The sequence below is a fragment of the Homo sapiens genome, chromosome 1 (assembly GCF_000001405.40).
Source record: "Homo sapiens chromosome 1, GRCh38.p14 Primary Assembly".
In the NCBI taxonomy this organism is placed as follows: domain Eukaryota; kingdom Metazoa; phylum Chordata; class Mammalia; order Primates; family Hominidae; genus Homo; species Homo sapiens.
Genome location: NC_000001.11, coordinates 118,957,151 through 118,971,962, shown reverse-complemented (window position 1 = coordinate 118,971,962; position 14,812 = coordinate 118,957,151). Strand labels below are relative to the sequence as shown.

The 14,812-nt window shown below is 41.2% G+C and overlaps 1 protein-coding gene across 7 annotated transcripts in view, besides 1 other annotated feature; it reads left to right on the top strand.

Annotated features, from left to right (window-relative positions):
* The window catches only part of TBX15 (T-box transcription factor 15), a 106,464-nt gene that overhangs the window by 17,548 nt on the left and 74,104 nt on the right, over positions 1-14,812 (top strand). The window lies entirely within an intron of this gene.
* Positions 11,226-11,840: an enhancer, noted in NCBI's record as "OCT4-NANOG-H3K4me1 hESC enhancer chr1:119502746-119503360 (GRCh37/hg19 assembly coordinates)". NCBI's record gives its function as "activates a minimal SCP1, AML or CMV promoter by ChIP-STARR-seq in naive H9 embryonic stem cells {active_cell/tissue: H9 hESC(naive)}" and the evidence as "EXISTENCE:reporter gene assay evidence [ECO:0000049][PMID:30033119]".

Sequence of the window (14,812 nt, the reverse complement as noted above, 5' to 3'; positions counted from 1 at the left end):
TTAATCAAGGCTCCTGTCCTGCCTTTATCATTTATAGAATAACTGCCGGCTTTACACTATCAACAGGACAGTAATCTGGTTTTAACCTGTTATTTTCTTGGCAGGATGCACACCTATTCTATTCCTTTTGCCCTATTAGATTGACATTAACTGTTAGACTTTTGGGCAATTGATGCCTATACCCAAGGGGTTGTTGGCTTTGGCTGTCCCTCTTATTCTGTGGCCATCTTTGTGCACATGTAAACATATATGCACACTCACACAATTGTTTTGGTTGATCTTTTCTACATTTTAGAATTGGTCGTAGATGAATGGATAAGTTAGAAGCCTTTAAAAATTAATATTTTGTACCTTTCTTATGACATCCAACATATTTTTCCTTGAATTATAACTTTTTGGAAGAAATATTTATTTTACAAGCCCCAACTAGACTGCAAAACCCTGGAGAGCACTGTGTCTTACTCATCTTTGAATTCCTGTTGGCACTCAGTTAACATTTGTAAAACTGAATTGGTGGTTGTCAAACTTTAGTGATGGGTTTTGTGACCACTACAGCCACTTTACAGATGACTTGGCTTCAAGATGATCCTGGAGCCCAGCATGAGGTGCCTGCCAGTCACCTGTAGGTGTGACCTGGAATGTGTCTGTTGATCTCTCTATATTCTGGAATCTCTATAATAGGAATAAGACCTCTGGACTTAGAGAAGAAAGAAAGAAAGGACATTTAACATTTTTGTAGATAGAAATTGTTGAATGCTCATGGAGTCTTTTTTGGAGCTTTTGCCTGATGAGGTGTTAGCATTTAGAAGCATAATTAGATTGTGGGAACCTCTCTGCCTCCTCTTTTCCTATTTGTTTCAGGATTGTGACCACGGCAGCCTCTGTTTTCTGCCCAGCAAGGGAGAAAAAGAAATAGAATAAAAAGCAATCTGAAACTATCTAGTGTTCTTAAACAGAAGTGCAAAAAAGTTTCTAAGTGAAAGACAGATAGTGTGTGTTTTCCTGAGAGAGCAGAATTGGGTTAACTTGAAGCAGAATGACAGAAATTTTTTCTGGCTTTTCCTTCCCAAGAGCAGTGGGGAATATGTGCATGAACTGACAGGAGATCCCAGCTTAGGGCTCAGCCACATGGTACCAGGGAAGGTAGATTGTCAGGAGAAGGAAGGAGAAAAACCCCTCAAACACAGGGTAATCACTGAGCAAATGGAGGGGTGAGAAATATGAGGCAGCTCTGTGAGAATGCATTAAAAAACTGCACAGTCAAGAGTCAGCCGCAGAGATCCACAGAGTGCCAGGTGCTTTTTGGTCCTGTCAAATTACATGTAAAATCCTCAGTACTGTTTTGGTTCTGACACAGATGGTCAAGGAGAAAAACAGCCTCACTTTGCTATTTCCTTTCTTCTTTTATGCCTTATGACCTGCCTTCCTGCTGCTGCTTGGAAAGAGATGTTCTGACTACTATGCCAGTTGCTTTTCATGACTTGCAAGACGGTTTCTCTTTAACCCAGATCTTGTTAACAATCCATTGGTTTAGAAGATAAAGGTCTCCTTGATTCAGTGTGAACTCTCAGCTAGTATGCCCACAGTGGCAGTGGACTGCTAGGGCTGACCCAGTGTCATTGTGGGTTCTGCAGGGGTGGTGGTTTCCAAGCCATTGTTATATTCTAAATCCCGCAAAGTGGAGACAGGTGTGGAGGGCCAAACTTACACAAGGAGGCTGTACTAGTCCATTCTCACACTGCTATAAAGAACTACCTGAGACTGGGTAATTTATGAAGAAAAGATGTTTAATTGACTCACAGTTCCACAGGCTGTACAGTAGGCATGGCTGGGGAAGCCTCAGGAAACTTACAATCATGGCAGAGGTGAAGGGGAAGCCAGCATGTCTTCACATGGCAGCAGGAGACAGAGAACACGCAGGGGGAAGTGCTACACACTTTTAAACAACAAGATATTGTGAGAACTCACTATCACAAGAACAGCAAGGGGGAAACCCCATGATCCAATCACCTCCCATCAGGTCCCTCTCCCAACACTGAGGATTACAAAACAACATGACATTTGGGTGGGAACATAGAGCCAAAGTATATCAAAGGCCAACAGACTGGAGGTGAATGGATGCCTTGAGCTCCAAGCATGGGAAAAGAGAGTTTCTCTGCACTTAATATGTAAATGATCAGAATAACCTAGTCTATCTTTCTCTAGTTGAGAATCCCTGATCCTGAATCTTGGAGGATACTTCTTCAAGATACATTTGTGGGTTTCTAAATGTTAATAGCCAACAGACTCTAGGAATTGTTGAATGACCTAGTGTCTTCTGGGAGAACGCCACTCCAACATGGTTCTTATTCTGTATCCTCTTTAGAAAGGGAGTCTGACCCAGGACTCAACCCAGGAAGGGTTGTACAAGATGACTCACCAAGATCTGATTATAGGTCATGAAGGACCCAATTTGATGCCTCTGAAGAACAAGAAGTCTCTTCAGATGCTGAACTGCTTTCTGAGGATATATATTGTCCATAAAGATTTGAAAGTTCATTATTCATTCATCTGTATGCTGATCCTTAAGGCTTACAGAATTCTCTTATAGGCTTCCCTTCAGGTCTTTCATGGTCCAGAGGCCAGAATCAACAACTCCAGAGAATAACCCCAGAAGGTCACTGCCTTGACACCCCTATAATAATCACACAGTTTGAGCTCTCCTATTTTCTGTTTCACAGTGAAATGGGTCCTATTCAGTGATGGAGAAGATGGGATGAACCTGAACCATAGGCTACTGGGAGAGGTCTATCCTTTGAGCTCAGTAGGTACAGGGAATGAGTCCATTTGTCCACGATGCTAAGGAACATGGTGCAGATAATCTGGGGCAAGAGATCTGACTGCTGTGCCAGTTGCTTTTTATGACTTGCAAGAAGGTTTTTCTAACCCAGATCTTGTTAACAATCCATGCTAGGTGATGTATTGATTATGCCATTTGGGCTGTTCTATCTTAGGAAAACCCCAAAACCTACTTTCTAATCCCAACCATATTAATACTTTTCAAAGAAGCTGAAGTGCCTGGTATTCACGATGGAGATAGAGGCCTGGTGTCTTTATCTCCCTCCTCCCTCCTCAAAAAGAGGGTCTAGGTAAACAGGGAAGCTCCCTGTGCCTGGCTCTGGGGCTCACTGTAGACTGTAATCCAAGTTTCACATCATATGGTTCTCTTTAGATGGGAAGTGGGGCACCAACACCCTCTTTTGGAAGCCCAAATCAGAACAAACCCTCAAACTAGTTTCCATGCTGAGAACTTCTGGGTCTTTCCTTCTTCACCCAACAGCATTGGCAAAACAGGCTGTTTACTCACAAATGCAATATGCATATATTCGCAATATATATGTGTATGTGTGTATATATACACACCATTGAGAGAAAGCATTTAAGTTTGTTTTTCAGAAAATTCCTCAGACGATGTTAGGCTGGGCGTAGTGGTTCACACCTGTAATCCCAGCACTTTGGGAGGCCGAGGTGGGCAGATCACTTGAGGTCAGGAGTTTGAGACCAGCTTGGCCAACATAGTGAAACCCCATCTCTACTAAAAATACAAAAATTAGTGTGATGCATGCCTGTAATCCCAGCTACTCTGGAGACTGAGGCAGGAGACTCACTTGAACCTGGGAGATGGAGGTTGCAGTGAGCCAAGATCACGCCACTGCACTCCAGCCTGGGTGACAGAGGGAGACCCTGTCTCAAAATAGAAAAAAAAGAAAAAGTCCTCCGATGATTTTGATGGACAGCCAGGTTTGGAAAACACTGTTCTGTACCACTCTTTTTCTTAGGAATTCCCAGGAGAAAAAGACTGACAAGTGTACATTTGGCAAAAATGGTCACAGTGCTCCGGAAACTGTATTTGTAATGCTATTGTAATAGTTCTACCAGTATACAAACAAATGTCATAACTGAGAATATTCATTACTGTAGCTAAGTCAGAAAATTACTTTTTGTTTTAATAGGAGGGACTATGGCTATTGAAATAACGTGAGAGGAGTAAGTAATGTCTGATTACAGGCTCCCTAAGCAAATGAGGCCTGGGATGTTTTTCTGGCTGTGGCAAATACAGCTTGTTATTTTATAGAGGTCATGGAAAATGAAACTCCTTCAGGGTTTTAACACTGACAACAGAATACCATTCTGGAAATGAATTAAATTAGAATTAAATTTAATTTTATGCAGGTTAACTCTGGGAGCTATGCTCAACATTTGCAACTCTTAGGATGATATTTAGACCTGAATGAAACACCAAATCGAATAAAACACAAGTTTAAAAGTGAAACATTTGGGTAACCTCTTCTTGTGTCTACATGGCTTTAAATAACTGCTTTGACTATTTTATCTTCTACTTGTCCCTTTCCTTCACTTAACTGATGGATTTGATTTGTTGAGTTGGCAGATGAGGTGCTGTTTGTACGGAATATAGCTATCTTTGTCAGGCATACAGAGAACATAAAATCTTAGCTCAGTGGTGGCAAACACATCATTTTAAATCATTTTGTTTGAAATATTGCCTAATTATGCTGCTACTTATAGGTCATTTTTATGATTTTTATATAGCATTTCTACCACTGTGAAATCTTGACAATTTTAGTCCTTCATTTTTGAAATTATTCACTTAGATGCTTGACTAAGTGAAAACAATACAAAGCAATAAATAAAAAATAAAGATTTGGTGAATCTGCACGTGAAGGTCAATAATGTAGGTGTCTCGAGGTCAACCCTTTTCTTTTTCTCTTGTGGTACTTTGCTTATACCTCTAACAGAATACCACAGTGATGGTATTGGAGTACAATTATTTGTTTACGTCTGTCTTCTTCACTAGATCTGGTATTTCCTATAGGTCAGGAGTCTGTCTTTATCTCTGTATGTCTAGTTTTCACACCATCCCTGGCTTGCAATAAGTGCCCTATTAATTAACATGTGTGGCAATTAATGAATAATCATAGTTTTGGCTTTTGTCTGTGCTGAGCTATCAGATTAACTGTTTTGACTGAACCAGCTGGCTGGAAAATTTAGTCAAATCACTGGCTTTTCTCCAAAAAGATCACTTGCATAATACTGCTAATATTTTATATTTGTATATTAGTTTATTTTCTCAAAGTACTGTCTGTCCCAGGACAGAAAATCATGTTGACAATTTTATTTTATTCTCTCAAAAACATAGAAGATGAAACCACTAGTCTTATCTTAGAAGCAGGAAAGCAAATGAAGACAGCTTAAGCAAGATCACAGCCAGGTATGAGCAGAGCTGTTGGGATAGACCTGTTGCTTTCCTGCTAAAATGCCCAGCCTCAATATACCTTCCTTTCCTCAGTATACTCTCCTCCTTTCCGTACCTCATTTCCTTACCCTGGGCAGTGTGGATGGAAGTTTAGAGGATGTGCTGGAGGCAGGCCGAATACCATTTTACATTCTAAGGGCCTCTGAATGTGCAATGAGTTTTCTTCTAGTTCTCCTAGGAATTGGGTTGAGGGCCAGGCCTAGAGGCACACAGTAGTGATATAGAGGGTTTCCTTCACTTTTTTTTGAGGAGCCAGTGTTTCTAAGCCCAGAATGTCTACTTTTGTGTTTCTTCAGCTGCTGCCCAGCAGGCCCAGGAGAACCTGCTCTGCACGATTTGTGAAATCGCTGCTGGGTGACAGCCCATTAGGTATCTTCTTCTGTTCATGGGCCTCCAGTTTTCCCTGAAAGACTGAATCAAAACCTCAAAGTCACAAGATTGGTTCTATTCTTCTTTTCATCTTAAAGTGCCAGGTGCACCTCTGTGCCTGAGAAGATTGTGTTGGCCCCAGTTTCTATTCTCTAATAGGCTGTGATATTTTTTACTTATTCTTCTTTTTTACTTATAAATTTTAAAAAACTCAGATAATTTGTATACTTTTAAAAAATCCAAACAGCCCAAAATGAACAGTGAGAAGCATAAAGAGCAATCTCCCATCCCTAGTTTCCGAGCTTATCCCAGGATAACCACTCTTACCAGTTTCCTTTTGCATCATTCCACATACATGTATGATATATTATATGAGTCCTTATATACACATACACACATATGTATATATACAAACCTTTAAAATGAAAAGAGAGATTGTGGCATAATATATATAGTACTTTAGACTTTATAATTTTAGTTTTGAGCTGTTATGTTGGAGACTGTCAAATAGTCATTCTTGCAAGTTCTCCACTTCCCCCTCTTTTAAAAGTCTCATAGAATTCCATCGTGTGGATCTTTCATAATGTTTATTGAACCTATTTTGACGAGCCTTCAGGTTGTTTCCAGTCATTTCCTTCTTTAAATAAGACTCCATGATTATTTTTGGGCATTCTTGTGATAGCACTTATAGAATAAATTCTAGAAGTAGAGTAGAGTTGTACAGTTGAAGTCATGGCATTTAAAATTTTGATGGTTATTCCAGATTACCCTCCCGAAAGGTTGTTCAATTTACACTTCCACCCACAGTGTATGACAGCCCATTTTCCTATCCATTTGCCAACAATATATTAGAAAATATTTTTGTCTTTGCTACCTAATACCCTTGTATTTGAAGGGTATAATGCTTGCAAATTGATTTCATCATAAATTCTCTTCTGTTCTCCCTCCAACTTCTCCATTTTTTCCAGATACAGAGCTTAAGTTTATAGATTTGTAGAGTAATTCCTTCTTCTCTTTAAACAGGCATAGGGTTTTGTTTGATATCTCAGGCTTCCCTGTTCCTCCATTTATTACCAATCATTACTTTAACTCATTCTTTTAGGATCCTGGGGTGCAAGTCTTCAGTGCCGGAGGCTTTCAAGGTGTTGAGTAAATAAGAAATGGCAGCAAACATTTCTTGTTAGTGAGGGAGAGAATAAAAGGCATGTCAGTCAGGGTTTCTGGGTGCAACTTTGGTTCAATTATCTTCAGATGTTTAAAATAAAGGCTGTTTCCAAACCATTTCAAAGAACGGCAGGGCAACCTGCTGAGACCTGTGTGAAATGAACACCCTGTTACAACTAATTAGTGTTACTGTTTTCCTTGCAGTTGGGGGTGAGAGGAAATATATGAAGGGTGTTTATCTCTTCCTGTAGTAGGAAAGAATTGGAACCACTGGAAAAGCCTGGAGGGGGACCCAAACCATGACTCCAGCTGGCTATTCCCACCTTTCTCCAAAGAGTGGCTGCAAGCAGCTATAAGCCATGTGGCTGATTTGACCCAGTGCATATGCCTTCTTTCACCATGCACAGCCTTCAGGTTGTTTTTACAAGATGCCTGAGACAAATAGCCCATTCAGTGAAATTTGACAACTATTTATTGAACACTTACAATATGTAGATGAGTAAGGAATAGTCCCTGCCCTAAAAACTTTACAATCTAGGCAGAAAGGATAATTGAGTAGATGTTTGGAGCCCCTGGAAGTTTTCAAGGAGGATAGTGGTTATGAGCTTAGGCTGGGTTTGAATTGTGACTCTAATCCTTATTAGCTCTGAAAACATGGGTAAGTTGCTTAATTTCTCTTGACTTCCATTTACTTATCTATAAAGGTTTTGTCATAAGAATTAAAGTCACCAACAATTAGTGATCTATTAATGTCAGTAACTATTACATAACCAGGGCTATGCCTTAGGAAGATTCATGTCACAGTAGTAAATAGGATGCTAAAGCATGGAATGGGGAAAGATAAGAAATGGGGAGATATGAGTTTAGTCAGGATAGGTTCAGCCCCATGGCAAGACAAACAAACCCTGAAGTCTTAGTGGCTTAATATATACAAGTTTATTTCTTGCTCACTGTTTCAGTTATCAGTTTCTGTGCTTAGTGCCTTAAAACCCTTAGTGGCACCATTTCATTTGCTCCTGATTCTGTGGGTCAGGTATTCAGGGCACAGCATGATACATGGGGCCTCAGCTGGGGTGGCTTAAATGGCTGGCTGAGATGACCTAATATGGGATGTATGTCTGTAGTCTCCATTTTGGCTGTCAGATGGTCTCCACCGTTCTTCTCCATATGGCTTCTCTATGTTGCTAGCTTGGGCGTCCTCACTGCATGTCAGCTGGGCTCCAAAAGCATGTGTTCTAAGAGGACAGGCTCCAGTGTGCAAACATGTATCAACTCTTGCATCATGCTTACAAAAGTCCACTTGGCTAAAGCAAGTCATGTTACTAAACTCAGGGTCAGTGTGGGAGGAGACTGTACAACGGTACAAATACTGAGAAGAAGAGTTCATTAATTGAGACCCACTGATGTAATAGTCTGTAATACTGTGAGAAATCTGGACATCTTCCAGCATGGCTCTCTTCTGAGTGGTGACTCAGGGACCCAGTCTGCTTTCATTTTATAGTTCCACCATCTCAACACATGGCTTCCAATATTGCCATGGCTAGGGAAGAGAGTTACACTGGGGCCTTAGCCTGTAAGTTAAATATGTCACAGTTCAAAACTAATCATAGCCCTGTCTAAGAACAGAGGGCCTTAGCTATGTATTCTGATGCTCAGGAGAGGGAAACAAGTAAGAATGAAACTAGAAATATTTTGTACTATCACTAGGGAAGGTGCCTGTGGTGGTCCAGGTAAGCAGTAATGCAGGTCTGAAACAAAGTGTTTAGGAAGACATTGTAAAGGAGAGGATTGATTCAATGAAAGAGCCGTTCAAATACCTGGTTAGTAATAGTTCAGATAAAACAGTGTCCTAAATCAACTTTTTGCTATATTTTTTAACCTCATAAAAACACACGTTTTCTTCATTTCTGTGAGTTAATATTATGGCTGGGTTTTGCTCTAAGGATGTGAGGTCTGTCATGGATTATTTTATTTACTTAGATGTATATTCTCTACTTTTCTTTTTCAACAAGAATGTTAGGCTTTACAGCATAAAGGTTAGAAAGACTTTCAGAGACTAGACAATGTAATGATAAGCCTGAATGAAAAACTTTCAAAAGTGACTTGTTTCTTATCTCCATTTTCCAAATATGCCATCTTCCTTAAAAGTTTCATTCTTCCCTTTTCTAGAAAGTTTTAGTTTTAATGGAACTGAGGGGTTGTCATAAACTATTTCTGCTTTTGAGATCTCTCCTACCAACTTGTAATTTAATTATGTAATAACCATTTCTAAATTAATTCAGTTACCTAAATGGTCAGTGTTCACTGATATTTTTCCAAAGATCATCATTGTCACCAATTTTCTAGATTCCCACTGAAGGCTTTATTGTGTAGCTAAGTAAACCGATACAGTGAGGAAACTGTAAAGGGGTAGAGAGAGTCCCTTAAATCCTAGAGGTTACACTTTATGGGGACATGAAAACTTCAGTTTAGCACTTGGTTTGGCCATTTTTGAGAGCACTTTGATATGATACACTAGTATTTCATAATTGATTAGAGGTAGTGAGGTGGTTCACTGAAGTTCATGAAGCCTTATCAGTTTTCCACTTGTCCATCTAGGATATTTTGAGGCTTTGGAACGAGCATCATTGTCATTTAAATACAGAAGGGGGTGTTGTTGGTTGCTTTTGGCCACAGAGACAAGAGTAAGTAGCCTGCTTTACTTTTGGGAGAAGTGATGATAGTTACCCTTATCATCAGCTGAATTGTCATTACGCATTGAGGAAATGTAGGCACGATTTGAGGTTATGTAGGCAACCAGAAGTTGAAGGCTGTCTTTAGGGTTTACCTAAAAAAGCGATAGTCAATTTTTTATTTATCTGATATTGGAACAAATTGTAAGCTCACATAGCCAAAATGTTATCAGTGCTGGTCTGTAGTAATGGACCCTTACACAGTTTTCCTTAGAGTTCTACAAAAAATGAATGTGCCTTTTGTGTAACACTGTCCTCATAGAAAAAAGAAATTTTGTTGGCTAGGATTTGGGCTTAATGTACTAGAACTTTTGAAAAATTGGCATATCCTCATGATATAAATGTTAATCCTGGCTTCTTGTAGTTCTTCTGGAAAAGTAGAAGTTGACTGTAACTTAAAAAGTTCTTCAGTAAACATCCATATATTGGGTTGTAGGAAGACCAAAGCCATTGTCATTTGCTTCGGCATGGGTACCAATAGGTACCATAGCCTGTCTTGATTATAGGAGAGGGTCTTATCTCAGCACTTGGACTGTACATACCTTGAAGACAGGGATAGTGCCTTAATCATCTTTGCATTCCCCTCAGAGCTCACCAGAGAGTCCCCCAGGTAGCAGGTACCAAGGAGATGCTCATGGAAGTGACTCAGCTTGTAGTGGGAAAGAATGGGGTTAGACACATGATACTCCCAGCTCTGCTAGTACTAGATAGGAAATTTTGAGCAAATCACTTTTCTTCCCTAGGCCTCAGGATTCACACTTAAATATGGGGATCTAGTGAGATGAAACTTCTTATCCTTTTTTGGCCTCCATCATCAAGCTTCTGCTTCAGAGAGTCAGAGGAAGGCTCTAGGAACCTGAATTTTACATAGTAAATGGGGCATTCTTCTGACATCTCCCTTCCCCTCATGCACTTTGAGTAATGCTCCTTCTCCCCAAGGAAGATGGCTGCCTGATTCCTAGCAGTACTTTGCAAACATCGAGACTGTAGAAGAGTACATGCTCAATTTCAGTGGAGAGAATGAATCACACTCTCATCATAGCAATAGTTGATTCACTTATTCAACAAATATGGTATTAGGTGCTGGGAGGTATAAAGATGAATAAACACCATTCTCTGCTCTTAAGAAGACAGATATGTAATCAGACAAGTGAAACACAGGGGGATGGGTGTCTCGACAGAATATGAACAGAGTATGGGGCACAGAGCCTGAGTTAGGAAGGGGGAACCAGGAAATCATTTTTAGTCTCTTGATTCCCATCAGGTTTCCTATAGCAGGGCCTGGATGAAGAGGACCTTGCATGAATTCCCAGTCCTTGGGGGCCACCACTCTCCTGCAGTTCCTATAGCCCAGCACAACTGCCACTCACTTCTTTTGCTCCCCAGCCTTTCCTGCTACTGCTGCTGCCTGCAGATCTCTGTCCATGGCCGCCCAGTGTCGATGACAGCAGCAATAACAAATTGCTCCTCCCTCACACCAAGAGGATGGGTTGGGCCAAGTCCAGGATGATTAAATTGCACTTTGAGCCACTGCTGTGTTGACCAGACCTCGACTCTGCCCTCCCTCCTCCCTTCAAAGCAACAAGTAGCAAACACTGGGGATGATTGAGTCAGAGTGGCCGCTTGTCCCTATTTCCTCACACCAGCCTGGACTTTGGAACACGAAGCCCTGATCCTGAGGGAGACTCTGCCGGCTCACTCAGTAGCCTGCCTGGGAGGCTGTGTCATCTCCTATAAATTAAACCTTGTGCTTTCTACCCTGGCAGGCCTTCCCTGCAGCCATTCCTCTCATTGTCCAGTTTGGCCTCCTGGTCGCTCAATTGTGTTGTATAAACTTTGGTACTTTTTAGGACTGGCCTCCTCTTCTGGGTCCTGGGAAGCTTGCAGCTGTGGATCTCAAAGCTTGGAGAAGCTCAGTCACTGAGTCTGGCCACCCAAGCCATTCGCTTCAAAGGTTAGATGGAGGTGCAAGGGCAGTGAAGAGCTGCAGGTGTTCTCTAGGTCTGATTTGCATCCAGTTGTTTCCATTCAGCTGCAAAAATGCATGGGGCTCTCGAAACTAGAGCTTCCTGGTGTGAATCAGATGAAACCTGAACTGGGCGGAAGGTGGCAAGTTTTCCAGTGCAAGCCTAGCGGATGTACTTAGTTGGAAAGTCACGTCAGGCCCATAAACACAGCAAGATGGAGAGGCCGCCAAAAACAGAGGCAGAAATAGCCAGGGGGTCCCCCATCCCGCCTCACTCAAACCACAGGCTCCTGCCAGACATTCTTCTCCCTTGCTCTGACTTCCCTTTTCTCTTCTTTTTTTTTTTTTTTCTCTTTCTCTTCAAGTTTTGCTTTGCTCCAGTGATTCTTCAGCTAGCCCTGCAGCTGTCTTGACAATTTCTAAGTTGCTGCTGGGCCTTTTCTTGGAGTGCAGGAGAGATTCAGAGAAGATGGTTTCAGTCTAGGGCTTTTCTCTGGGAAGCCGCAGGTGAAACATGCCTCTCTACTCCACCCCAAGGTACTATATTCCAGGTGTCTGTACAAGGAGGAGAAATTGGCTCCTAACTCTGGTTGTAATCAGAGCATCTTTGGATGTACTGAATTTATTGCAGACATTTGTGCCTATTCTGATTTCGAAGTCAGATTTCATCTCTTTCTCATTTGGTCTATATGTAGCTCCCCTCGCTCACTGAACTGAGTTCATTCACTATTTAACAATGATGAATTAGGGGGCTGGAGTAGGACTGACACTGTTCTGGAGAACAAAGCTCTATATTTTGCTAGTGCTCAGAGTGTTCAGGTGGTTTTAGGGAAAACACAACAGCAGTGAAACAGGTGCTGCAGTGGCAGTAACTCCAGGGAAGGCTCAGTTCAGCTTGGCAGGGCTGATGTGTTTTTTTCCAGCTACAGAATCTGGAGCCTCTACAGTGCTGACAGAGGTTAGGTACTGGAAATATCAAGGACCATCATCTCTCAGGCCTGAAACACCTTGTACATTTCATGTTCAGCTGCAGAAGCCTTGAACACCTGGCAGAACACAGCTGTCTGCCTTCCAAAGGAGAGCTGATGGTCTCTCTTGCAGATGTCTATAAATACATATTCTTATTCGCCTGAAGGCTTTCTGGCATGGATCAGGGTGTATCCTCCACAGCCCAGCATTCATAGTTGGGAGGATTCACTGAGGTAATGTGGGAGGTATCTAGCACAGTTCCTGGTGCAGAAGAGGCCTTAATTGTTGACATTTCCCACTCTATTCCACATTCCCCTTTTTCCTTTGTTCTTAGTTTCTACCCTCTCCCTCAAGGAATGTTACCAGAGTATATGTTTAACTTCACACACACATACTCTCTCTCTCTCTCTCTCTCTCTCTCTCTGATATTATACCTTCTGATGACCACTAAGGCCTTTTCTTCCCAAATTAGAGAGCCTCCCTATTAATTAGTATTTATAATACTGGAACAATAAGCACGGTCTTCTACCCATCTTTTACCAATCTTCCTTCTCATTTACTATTCCAGCCTCTGTTTTTGCTCCTTCTAGGGTGAAACAGCTGTTTAATATTTTTCTTCTTTTGAACCAGGCCATCAGAAAGCAGAGGAGGTAGTGGCCGGGTAGAGTTGGTAGGAATTGGTGAGCATCTCAACATGCCTAATAAGATAAGACATTGGTGAAATGCAGTCCCAGGAACCATGAGGTTTAGCTACTTCTCTGGGAGGTGGGAGGTGGGGCTGGTGGGAATATGGAAGGATATTGTGGTGGGAATGGAGTCATAGACTGTGTTTGTTAGGGTAGGACCAGGACCATGCGGAGGCAAAAATTATATCACTGATCAAGATAAATAATATTTAGTGCAGTATTTTAAAAATTCAGAATTAATGTAAAAAAATCTATGTTGAACTAAACATCAAAATATTGGCGTGATATTGGAACCTGAAGCAAAAGAAAAAATCACGAATACTGATCCTGTCTGTTTTAGTCTGCTCAGGTTGCTATAACAAAATACCATAGACTGGGAGCCTTAAACAACAGAAATTTATTTCTCACTGCTCTGAAGGCTAAAAGTCCCAGGTCAAGGTACAGCAGGGCTGGGCTCTGGTGAGAGCTCTCTTCCTGATTTACAGATGGCCATCCACATGGTAGAGAGAGAGAACAAACTCTCTGCTGCCTCTTCTTATAGGGGCACTAATCCCACTGGACCAACCCCTACCCTTATGACTTCATCTAATCCTAATTACCTCTTCAAAGTCTCGTCTCCAAAAACTGCCACATTGGAGGTTAGGGTTTTGACATAAGAATTTTGTGGGGACACAAACATTCAGTCTATAGCACTATCTTTATTTTATTAAATATTTTGATAACTTCATTCATGGCAAATTTTTGCATTAATTTTAATTTTTAAAAATATTGCATTGAGAATAGTGCCGCAATAAACATACGTGTGCATGTGTCTTTATAGCAGCATGATTTATGTTTATTGCGGCACTATTCACAACAGCAAAGACTTGTAACCAACCCAAATGTCCAACAATGATAGACTGCATTAAGAAAATGTGGCACATATACACCATGGAATACTATGCAGCCATAAAAAAGGATGAGTTCATGTCCTTTGTAGGGACATGGATGAAGCTGGAAACCATCATTCTCAGCAAACTATCGCGAGGACAAAAAACCAAACACTGCATGTTTTCACTCATAGGTGGCAATGGAACAATGAGAACACATAGACACAGGAAGGGGAACATCACACACCGCGGCCTGTTGTGGGGTTGGGGGAGGAGGGAGAGATAGCTTTAGGAGATGTACCTAATGTTAAATGACGAGTTAATGGGTGCAGCACACCAACATGGCACATGTATACATATGTAACTAACCTGCACGTTGTGCACATGTACCCTAAAACTTAAAGTATAATTAAAAAAATAAAATATTGCATTGAAATATTATTTATCTTGATTGCTGAAATTTTTGGTGTCCCTCAAATTTTTCACTCCAGGCCAGTGCATTGCCCACCTCACTCCAGTCCTGGTCCTGCCCTAGAGAAACCCAGCTCCTGGATCTGGGGTAGAGCAGTGGGCCAAGGCATTACTCTAAGTCAAAGGGGCAAGGTCTGACCCTCACTGGATTGGTCCGACTCTGACCAAATTCTTCATTTCCTTTTTCTTCCTTGATTATTGTCAAGTGCATGGTTGTGTTTTCAATGCTCAATTTTTTTCATTGTTCAACAATAGTTTGAATTTTACCCAAC